This window comes from Homo sapiens, chromosome 7, assembly GCF_000001405.40.
Source record: "Homo sapiens chromosome 7, GRCh38.p14 Primary Assembly".
Lineage (NCBI taxonomy): Eukaryota > Metazoa > Chordata > Mammalia > Primates > Hominidae > Homo > Homo sapiens.
This window is the reverse complement of record NC_000007.14, coordinates 93423875-93435820: the sequence shown is the minus strand read 5'-3', so window position 1 is coordinate 93435820 and position 11946 is coordinate 93423875. Positions and strand designations below refer to the sequence as shown.

Below are 11946 nucleotides of genomic sequence, written 5' to 3'. Positions count from 1 at the left end.
TATTTTATTTTTTTTGACACAGAGTCTCGCTCTGTCCACCAGGCTGGAGTGCAGTGGCATGATCTCAACTCACTGCAACCTCCATCTCCCGGGCTCAAGCAATTCTCCCACCTCAGCCTCCTGAGTAGCTGGGATTACAGGTGTGCGCTACCACGCCTGGCTAATTTTTGTATTTTTAGTAGACGGGGTTTCACCATGTTGGCCAGGCTGGTATCAAACTCCTGACCTCAGGTATTCTGCCCGCCTCGGCCTGGGATTACAGGTGTGAGCCACTGCGCACGCCTGACAAGCCCATGATCTTCAATGTCATAACATTTAAGCCTCCAATTCAATAAGCCCAGCCAAAATTCTGAAGGACACCAGTTTTTTTGAGGCTCTTTGTTGCTGTTTCTTTCTGTGCCTGCTTTCCTGTCATTCCCAGGGCCCTCAGCTGGTCCCATCCAGGCATGTTCTCCTTGGTCATAGATACAGAAATTGTCAGATCTTCCTTTATAAATAAGTGCTGGCTCTGGGGTAATGAGGAATTTGCACAAGGCTGTCCATGCCTCCTGCTCTATCACTCTCCATTTGTCAGGTGAATGTTAGGAATCCATTCATGACGGTTCAGTGCTATAAAGGGAAGTTGTATCCAGGCCTCCCCTCATGTAAGAGAGAATGCAGTGGGCTCTCAGGGGCTGTCCTGGGCTGTCCAGTGTCTGCCGCACTGGATAGGAGAATGGCTGCCCTAGTTCCATTCACCTTTACCCAGATCTAAAGCCCCATTGAAAGCATAATGCTGTATTTGGATAGCAAGATAGGATGTGGGAGTCCTTGGCAGGAGTAATTCTATCACAGGCTCTTAGGCCAGAGTTTTGCTGTCTCTATTACAAATTTCAAAATAGTTTTATTTTCTATATTAGGCTTAATGTGAGGAGGAGGTCAAAATTAATAGGGCCAGAAAGAAAGTTTAGGGATCGTTTGAATAGTTCGAACTGTTCTTTTAGCCATAATCAAAACTTGGGCACAAGAAATCTTCAAGCAGTGACCAGGACTCAGGCAGTTTCTTAGTCCATGTCCTTATCTGAGCGATGAACTTGGCGGTGGGTACAGTATTGCACTAGTTCACCATGACAACATAGGACACAGACCCACAGCCTCCCACTATGACACTTGTCTTGTAAAAGATCCCTCTACTGAATTCTGCAAGGTCTCCATTTTTAAATTTTCTAAGTGTAGTTTTTTTTTTTCAAATTCACCATAATCAGCATATGCTGCTATAAATCTCCATGTTAAAGGGAGCAAAATATTATTTAGATTAGCAAAATATTAATCCGTCCTTCTAGCCAAACGATGGAATCCTAACAAGAAAAATATATTTCTAAGGGAATATTCTTATAGTGCAGCACTGACTATGAATGGTAGATAATTCTTTTTCTTGCTTTTTTTTTTTTTCATCAGGCCTTCTCTGGGCAGTCTATTATATTGTTTACTAAACAACATAATGCACACAAAAATAACTTCAACTGTATTTTTCCTTCCCTTTTTAGGGCTTCTTTGTTGCGACCATCTACTGCTTCTGCAACAATGAGGTAAGCATGCATTTCATATAATACTATCACTTGTTTGTGTAAAGGCAGCATTTTTTCCAAAGGGCCTCTGTACAAATTTCATTTCATCTCACTTCTACAGTTGACCTCATAGGGTTTTGTGATTAGCAACATGATGTTTTTTCCACTACTCCAAGCTGAATCTTATCCATGGATGTGTAGTACAATGGCAAATATGATTCAGACAGGCAGTTAATTTCCTTGGGTTGCATCTTGAACAGATCAGCACCCTCAGGAGCAATAGTGAAAGCTATTCTGGATGCCATCACAAAGAGAAGTCATATTCCTATTCCCTTCGGAAGACCCGAGCCCTCACTAGGGCAGAGACAATCTCCATTCGGTTTGTACTAGTTCCTCACCTTCTTTTCCAGTTGCTTGGTGCTAACGCCCTACTACTTACTCAGCGTTTTGAAAATCACCCTGAAGTGAAGATTCAAAAAGGATTCTCAAATAATCTACAATGTGAATATTTAGATCAGTAAAATCTAGAGAGCCATATGGCTGATCCATTCTGTTCTCAGGGTGTTTTTAGCCAGAGTTACCCTTTCTTCCAACCAAATCTTGCCTGGGAGCCAAATCTATAAAACATAAAAATGGAGCTTCTATAGCTCCAGACATCCTTCCAAAGAACTTCCAGGGTTTTAGGGAACATGATTCAAAATCTTCCTCATTTTTCAGGGAAGAAATCTGAACTCCAGAAAGATCATGTGATTTACCCAATGTCACAAATGCACTTATGGTTATAACCCAGACTGGAACACAGATTTCCTGTTTTTCAATTAAACTGACCAACTCCCAATTAACTTATCTATATCTATAATTCCTTCCTGGAGCTATGTTAGTATGTTTTTTCTAGGACCACACAACTTTTAATGCCAAAGCATTTTTGAACATTTTAAATCAATTCCTATTAAGAATAATTCCATACAAGGCAAATCACATTTTGCCAAGACATCAATATATTACTTTCCTATTAGTAATTAGAAACATTTCTAGCCATTGTCAGTTGCTAATTTATTCTCTATCTTTTTACTAAGTTAAATAATATTTAGTGAGCACCTACAATATTTTGCTATTCTGTGACCTGTTCATACCCGTTTCCAACCGCAACATGACAAAGTTTTTGTTGTTCCTATTCTCCATTTTAGTTATTACATTTTATTCCTTTCTTTCTTCATCCATTCACCTACCAACTCATTCCTTCATTCAACAAAAATACATTGTGCATTTACTATTGCTAAGGGCTAGACTAAGGGCCTAGAATAGAAATGAAAAGACATCCTTCCATTGCCCGCTGTTAGAGTGGCAATATTTTTAGAATTTTAATATTTTTTAGAATGATAAAAACTAATAAATGAGTAGGGCGTAAGTCACCCCGTGTTTATATCAATTTCTGTGAATGTATATCCATGCCTTTTGGGTTGTTTCAGGTGGCATGCAAAATAAATTTTTTGTCTAAAATAATATCAAAATAGAGCTAATATGAGAAATCAGGCTCAGTGGGGCATACCTGGAAAAACACAAGAGGATTGCATGCATTCGTAAAAATACCACAATATTTATTGTGTCTTATCTATGATACTGTCATTGGAAGTGTCAGACATAGAAAGCAAACCCAGGGGTACCCTAGCAATTGAATGTCTCGAGTTCATTTGACTATATGTTATCTCTGATTTTGAAGTAAAGAAACCATTTCCATTTTCATTAAGATCCCGTTACTGGGGGAAGGTAAAAGTGTGACATTTCTAATAATATAGAATTGTGTACTGTGCCAGATGTAATATCACAGACCCATGGATTTTAGGCATCTGGGTCTCAGCTGGTCATTCTGCGAATGCATCACCTTACAATATTGAACACAGGCAGGGCACTCACACATGCAGGAAGTTATTTCCAGCTGCATCTAAGATAGGGCTGTGATGGGATGGTGCCTGGCTGAATACTGAGTTTTAGCAGAAATCTAGGGGGCTAACTCAACATAATAATGAGATCACATCACATTGTGTTATGTGCAATTTAATTTTGATTATGATTGGTATGTTATCAGTGAAATTATTATTTCATTTTTGAATTTTGATTCATTATTGGTATGTTATCAGTGAAATGATCATTATGAAAATGAATTATATAGAGAGTCAGTGGGTAGACTAGAAGCAGGAAAGGAACTTGAAGAATTAAAGTAATAGAAATCAGGAGAGGACCATGAGAGCATGCTTATGTATCAAGCATTTCCTACAATGACTCTTCCAAGTGAGTGGACATTGATTATCCAAACATATCAGTAAATTATTAGGTACCTAAGAGACCTGAAAAAGATGATTGCAGCTATAAAAATGCACAATTTGTTTCCAAGAAGTAGCATAGAAATGAAAGTTCTAACAACACACTAGATTTTCTCCCTTTTCTTGTGTCTTTCTATTCTCCGTACATCGTGGATAAAATAGTTTATAGAAGGAAGTAGCATGATCAGAAACATCTCCATTTAACTGTCACAAATTGGAGTGTGCAAAAGCTAAAATTTTGTTTATTTCCTGTAGCTTATCTTGCTTTCAAGAGACTATTCCACCAGCCTCTAGTGGTTTACAGCAGTCTCTTTATAGAAAATATTCAGTCAATTCAAAAAGCCTTTGTCCAAAAGAGCAACTGGCTACCAAGTTTTAATGCCAGCACCTGCTGTTGAAGTTCACGCTGGTTCCCCTTACTACTAAGCCCTCGAGAAGTCTTTTCACCTGTGGCCTCCTTGATGAAGCCACAGCCCTATTCTGATTCACAAGTTCTTTCCGCCAAGCCACCCGAGGAGCCTGGAACTCCAGCTCCTTTCTTCACACCACATAGAGCCTGTGAATCTATCTTCAGCACATGCCATAGCCGTTGCTGCTCCGCTGTTGGACATGGTGCCAGGGGCAAATGTGGAGTTTCTTTTCAGGGCTGGCTATTTTCAGGACTGTGCTCTCGAAACAAAAAGAAAAACTTGATGTAATGGAGGGTTCCTAAGAAAGCAAATGATCTTTTGCTTGATTTCTTCTGCCCATTTTCCCAGGTACTCCCACCACGAAGGGAAATGCAAGGCCATTTGTGTGTCTTTCTCTCCTCTTCCTCTCAGGCCTCTTGGGGCTGTGCACTCACCACTTCCCCTTCCTGTCTGTGAGGGTCTCTACCTATATCATATTCTACATGTTCTCTACCCTGTAGCTTTTAGTAAAACACTATCTGCAGACCAGTAAGATTTTCACAACATATGCAAAGAGAAGTTTCTTCTGTTTAGAAATTCTCCCACTCAATAAAGCCTGATTTTCAATACAATGTCTTTCTAGAGACATAAGAAAGCCAGCTTTGAGTCTCAATGCTAAGCAATAATTTTCCTTGTTCTAGACCAGTATTCTCAAACTTGAGTGTACATCAGAATCACCTGGAAGATTTCTGAAACCAGGGATTGCTTGGCCCCAGCAGCAGTTTCCTATTCAGTAGGTCTGGGGTGGGGTTTGAGAATTTGCATTTCTAACCAAGTTCCCAGGTGATACTGATGCTGCTGACCCAGAGACTTCACTTTAAGAACCACTATTCTAGACACAATCACACTTGTTCTTCAAGCAGTGGATGACCTTGACTTAATGAACTGGGGAGATGTAGGAAATTTTATTTAAGAAAATTAAGAAATACAATGGCTGAATGTTTTCAAAAAGTTTAACTTTATCATAAATGATACTTAGGTATTGTTACCCTTTAGAGCAAGGAATCTTCCCCAAACATAAGAAAAGAGATAATGAATGGGAATCAGAAAGCTCTGATTCTATAATCAAGTACTCAACTCAAATTATAGAGCATATAAATTTTGTAAGATAAAATCAGAGACCAGTAGAGATATTGCTGCTATGGCCTCCGAAAGACTGAAAAGAATGTTGACAACAACTTTGTAAATAATATTCACAAGTATCCCTTAGCATCTAATTAATAGGGCTTAATACGAATCTAGCTTTCAGAAGTTGTATAAAACCACCTAGGCCAGGCGTGGTGGCTCACGCCTGTAATCCCAGCACTTTGGGAGGCCAAGGCGGCTGGATCACAAGGTCAGGAGATTGAGACCATCCTGGCTAACACAGTGAAGCCCCGTATCTACTAAAAATACAAAAAAAAAATTAGCCGGGCTTGGTGGCAGGCCCTTGTAGTTCCAGCTACTTGGGAGGCTGAGGCAGAAGAATGGGGTGAACCCGGGAGGTGGAGCTTGCAGTGAGCCGAGATTGCGCCACTGCACTCCAGCCTGGGAGACAGCAAGACTCTGTCTCAAAAAAAAACAAAAAAACAAACAAACAAAAAAAAAAACCGTCTAAAGTGTGCAATTACTTTTTAACTTCTAGGGAATTTAAAGTGTTTTTTTTTTTTTAATCATGATTTTTAAATGTCAAGCTCAGGTTGCAGCAGGTCTGTTAGATTGTGGTGACAGTGTGAAGGAGTGGGCGTTACAATCTTTGCATTCATTGGATCAAAACTGCAGAGGTAAACCTCACCTTCTATTCCGCAGTACATAACTATAGTAGGTACTTAGAATGAACTCAGGAAAAGAAAGGCAAAAGACAAAAACATTCAAATCCAACCATGAAGACTCTAAACTTATTTTGTTTTGTACAAATGTAGGAACTGAGGCCTAAATATACAAAGGCCAAATATTACAAAGCTTATTAATAGAGCCAGGTATAATAGTTAAGTCTTCAAACTGTGAGGCCAGGGCTCTATTTTTATAAGTTGGCAATACATAAATAGATATAATCAGGAAAAAAAGTAAAGTGAATAGTGTGTATTGCTTTTTTAGTGAGTGATGAATTTATATAATTCAAATCTTTTTGTTGTTGTTACATTTATCCCACTTACAACTGAAAACATTTATTTTCAGGAGCAACAAAACTCTCCCTGTTTTGTTTTGTTTTGTTTTTCAGATTAAATGCCCTTATTCTTGTCATCAGAGCAGCATCAGACTCAACCTGTGATATTGTAGGAGATAATTGCCCTTATTAGTCTATAATTTTTTAAGTGTCTTTTTTATGCTGCTAAGGGCCTGTTATTATATGAATAGTTTACAAATCAAAGCACATTGCCATCTCCACACAAAAGGATGGGTTGTAATTTTGGACGCAATTAAAGAAGGCCGTGAACCTTTCTGTAATAATAACTTTTAAAAATTAAAATAGAAATCAAACCGTTTGGCCCCATGCTGGGCTGTGTACTTTATTAATATAAATGGATACTCTATGGGAGTTATTTTAAAAGGACAGGTGAGAAATAAAAGACCTCTTTTTCATGCTGCATACTTTTGCAAACTAACTCTAAACTCATAACTGCCTGCTTGGATACTTGTAAATATCTGTGTAAGTTTCAGCTACAAGGATAATCTTGGTATTTAAGAGATGCTGAATCCGTGGAAATTATCAGCTTCCTTTTTTTTTTTTTTTTTTTGAGACGGAGTCTCGCTCTGTTCCCCAAACTGGAGTGCAGTGGCATGATCTCGGCTCACTGCAAGCTCCGCCTCCCAGGTTCATGCCATTCTCCTGCCTCAGCCTCCTGAGTAGCTGGGACTACAGGCGCCGGCTAATTCTTAGTATTTTTAGTAGAGACAGGGTTTCACCGTGTTAGCCAGGATGGTCTCGATCTCCTGATCTCATGATCTGCCCGCCTCGGCCTCCCAAAGTGCTGGGATTACAGGCATGAGCCACCACGACCGGCCTATCAGCTTCCTTTGACTGGAGACATTGCTTCTCCAAAAATGTGCTGAACCTGTATATTTCCCAGTTTCTCAATGGGGCATTTGATGGTTCCTAGATTATAACCCTGGCATTTAAAGCTACGGTAATAGTACCACCCAAATAAAGCCAGGCTCTGCTTGGTACTGTGGCTTTGCCACATTCTAGCTATATGATTTTGGACACATTGCATAACCTCAGTGCCCCATCCATAAAGTGAAGATAGTAGTGCCCTTCCCATAGGGCTGTTGTGAGGATTAAATAAGTTAATACAAATCACATACTTATGATACGGTACTTAGTAAACACTCAATAAACAGCTGAAACTTGTTATTCTATCTTTTGTTCTTGCGTGGCTTTTTTCAATACAACTTTCAGCTGCATGGTCCACCTTATTCCTTAGCACTTAAAGTTTTTGTCTTTGTCCGTTTTAAATCACTTTAGATATAAAGTACCCTTCATGCAAGCACTCATTAACCCCAAAACAAAATAAAACAAAACTCAGGATGTGTTGCCTCCATAATCTGAAAAGTCTAATATTCCAAATTATCAGATTGCTAAATAATTCTGATTGCCATTTGTCACCTCGAACCTTACGGTTGCTGTGCTGTGTGAAGATAAACTACCCCCTTTAGTTGCTTTTTGAGGAATCATTTGACTTTGTCTTTCTCTGAGTAAAATCTTTAAAAATATATGAACAATACTAATTATTCTCAGAGGAGATTATTACTCTACTAGATACAGGAAAAAAAAAGTATATTTGCCACAGAACCATTCAGCCTTATATTATACATATAGTTTTATAACATTAATCAGTTTTGCTGTCATTTTTCTCATCTCTCAGATTTGTACAAATGTAAAGTAGATAAAATGATTCCCCATGATCAAGTAGTTACATGATTTAGTTCACATTATATATTCCCCAGGTTCTCTCTCATGTGTTTAGCTGTCATATGTGAGTTTGGCAGCAGAATGAACTAAGGATGTATCATAAATTGATGCAAATATTTTTATGTAAGCTTGTTGTATGTACTGAGCAATAGAAACTCAGAAATACAGAATAGAGATTATTGCAATAATCTCTTTTTTAGTTTTGTTCAGCTATAGAGAAAAGCAAGAAGTTTGGAGACAACAGGAAGGAGGAACTTAACTACTAAATTGAATTCGTTTCTATAAAAAGCAGAGCTAGACAAGCAAATTCACTGTCTGTGGTACTGTTTTCAGTTGTGGTTATTGTAGTTTTCATATTTAGAGCTTTCTGATGTTAGCATCTTTGCCTCTTGTTTTCAATATATAATTTATCGTATTTATAAAACAAGTCTGGCAAGTTTGTTTACATTTTAGAAGTCTTTCAAAAGAAAGAGAAAATCTTATTCTTAAAAAGTTGTCATGGCATTAACCAGAGATGTATCTGGCATAACCCATCTCAAGTCATGTCGGACAAGGAAAAGTTCACTGTACGAGGCCATTATCATAAAATCCAGAACTGTGCTATGGTTTACATATATATTTTTCATGTGCACACTTAAATTAAAAACTTCTGCCTTATCAGGGATGGTAGCATATAAAAAGTTTGGTCAACCTTTCTCCCTATTATGACATGTATACCACATTACCTGTGAAACCAAATCAACTTTTATTCATTGGATATGAAAGCTAAAGAAACCTTTTCTTAAAACTAGCAAACAACCTTGCCAGGGGTAATTTAAGCAAGTAACTCAGTTCTTCCATTTGCAAATTCTTCTTCCAAGTTGATATATTCTGTGGCCACAGCATACACAGCCCAGCCCTTTAGATCAGAATTACAATTTAACTTTCTTTAAATCTGATAAGCTCTAAGAACGATGTTCGTACACTTTGCATGGATCATTTCTGACTATCATATAAAAACAAGGCTCCTTTTTCTCTTCCAGGTCCAAACCACCGTGAAGCGCCAATGGGCCCAATTCAAAATTCAGTGGAACCAGCGTTGGGGGAGGCGCCCCTCCAACCGCTCTGCTCGCGCTGCAGCCGCTGCTGCGGAGGCTGGCGACATCCCAATTTACATCTGCCATCAGGAGCTGAGGAATGAACCAGCCAACAACCAAGGCGAGGAGAGTGCTGAGATCATCCCTTTGAATATCATAGAGCAAGAGTCATCTGCTTGAATGTGAAGCAAACACAGCATCGTGATCACTGAGCCATCATTTCCTGGGAGAAAGACCATGCATTTAAAGTATTCTCCATCCTCCCAGGAACCGAACATATCATTTGTGAAGAATTATTCAGTGAATTTGTCCATTGTAAATCTGAAGAAAGTTATTCTTGGTACTGTTGCTTTGGGAGACAGTCTAGGAATGGAGTCTCCCACTGCAACTTGTGAACTCCATCATTCATCCAGGACTGAGATGCAAATGTCACAGTAATGCAAGCAAAGTATCAAAGAAAAACAATGAAATTGACCTAGTTCAGATACAGGGTGCTCCTTGTCAATACTGAGCCATTTATACCTTTGAAATATTAAAATCACTGTCAATATTTTTATTTTTAACTCTGGATTTTGAATTAGATTATTTCTGTATTTGGCTATGGATCTGATTTTTAATTTTTTTAAATTTCAGTCAATTCTGATGTTACTGAGATGTTTTACCATCCTTACAATGTAAACCACATGAACTACGTGACCTCTGCAAGACAAAGCGGCTTTCTAATAGAGAGATTAGTAAATATGTGAAGAAAAAGACCTGCATTTGGCAGGAAGATGTATGCTTTGAATGCAAAAGAAATTTAGAGTCAATTTGCTGAAAACATTACATGCTCAGCTTGGTTTTGGACAAGCCTGTCCATTGGGCAGGACCTAGCTGTTGTAAAGAATTGGTCTTAATGTTGAATGTATTTTGGTTGCTGATGTTTATAAACTGAGAGGTCACAAAGAATCTATCACTAAAAATTTTTACAAAACTGCCAAAAATATAATTCTTAGTGGAAGACAATACTCCCTTTAAAGAGAGTTTGCCACTCCCCTAAACTCCAGGATTTATAAAGCAAATTACTCCAAGGTTTATAAAGCAGATTACCTCTTGCCCTTGGGTGCTATCTAGCAGTAAAAGATAAATTTGTTGAATATTGGTAATTAAAAGACTCCACATAAGTCCATTAACTGCTTTCCACCCAGCTTCAAAGCTTAAAAAGAGCTCAGGCTTTTCCAGGAAGATCCAGGAGGGCTAATTAGAAATCAACTTGTGGTTGACCGCTTGTTTCTTGTTATTACCAAAACAGGAGGGGAAAAAATTAACTGCTCCAAATTTAACCATAAATCAATTCATGTTTAACGTTTCTCATTAAAATCCAGTATTATATTATCATATCTCTCTTTACTTCCCAGTATAAGATTTTTGAAAATCCTGAATAAACCAGTATCGTTACTGGCACCTGAAATTAATTTGTGAATTTGCAACAGTAATCAGAGTTACCATTATTTAATTTGTATGCTAAATGAGGAGGTACATTGAAACCCTCCAAATCTCCAGTCTCATCTATGTCATATTTTGCCACTGCCTTTCAGAAGTGATTTAGTTGTGGAAAGATAATAAATTGATTTGTTATGGTTACATATTTAGCGCACCCAGAGAAAATTAATTATATTTCTACAGAGAAAATGAATTTGGGATACTAAAGTAGTTTAAGTCTCCTTTACTGAATGTAAGGGGGGGATCGAAAAGAAGGTATTTTTCCAATCACAGTGTTATGTAGTATTGTTCTATTTTTGTTTACAAACATGGAAAACAGAGTATTTCTGGCAGCTGTGGTACAAATGTGATAATATATTGCTAAAATATTTTAGATGTTATTATGCTAATATAGTAGGGGTTGAAGAAAACAAAATAGCTTATTATAGAATTGCACATAGTTCTGCCCAAATTATGTGAAATGCTTATGCTTGTGTATATGTATAAATTAATACAGAGTACGTTAAAAGCAAAAAGATGTATATTTGCATATTTTTCTAAAGAAATATATTATTCATCTTTTCATTCATTCATCTCGTCTCCTGCTCATTCCATGCTGTTTTTGATTTCAGCCATGGGCTGCTACCATCCCATCTCATTTGTACTGTAGGAGTGGGAAAGATAATCTAAAAGCATAGGTTAGAAACCATACACAAAAATATCAAGGTTATTATCTTTATTAGTACAAACATCTTTAGTCTCAATTTGATTGTAAATTCAGTGACACTGTTCTCATGCCCTTGATAACACAAAACCACACACCAGTGTCAATCAATATTGCATAGGTTTAGGAAGCACAGCAAAGAAATCAAGTGTAAGAAAGTATTATATCCTTTTATTGTTCTTGTTTTTTTATTCATTATTCTGGGACCAGACTTGATCTGTCCAATATCACATCAGATCCTTAGAATTGTTACAATCAATCATTGGCTTTTAATATAGTTTGGAAGAGAGACTAAGGCTAGACGAAAGGCAACCAATTAACTATCATTAGAATGCATAAAGCCCACCATTGGAAGGATTTTCAGATCTGGAAAGCATGAAATGGAAAAAATGAGGATTAAATGAGAACTCTGATGGACTAAAAAGGGGAAGAGGCGCAATTTGTAGATTCTTCTCATTACGTGAGAACATCCAAAA

At 37.7% G+C, this 11946-nt stretch overlaps 1 protein-coding gene across 3 annotated transcripts in view; it reads left to right on the top strand.

The window, feature by feature from the left end:
• The window catches only part of CALCR (calcitonin receptor), a 150239-nt gene extending 138904 nt beyond the window's left edge, over positions 1-11335 (top strand). For all 3 annotated transcript variants that reach the window (NM_001742.4, NM_001164737.3, NM_001164738.2), the window contains 2 exons: positions 1527-1568; positions 9232-11335. In NM_001742.4, coding sequence (NP_001733.1) covers positions 1527-1568; positions 9232-9465 — 276 coding nt within the window. In that variant the 3' untranslated portion in view covers positions 9466-11335. The remainder of the gene's footprint in view (positions 1-1526; positions 1569-9231) is intronic.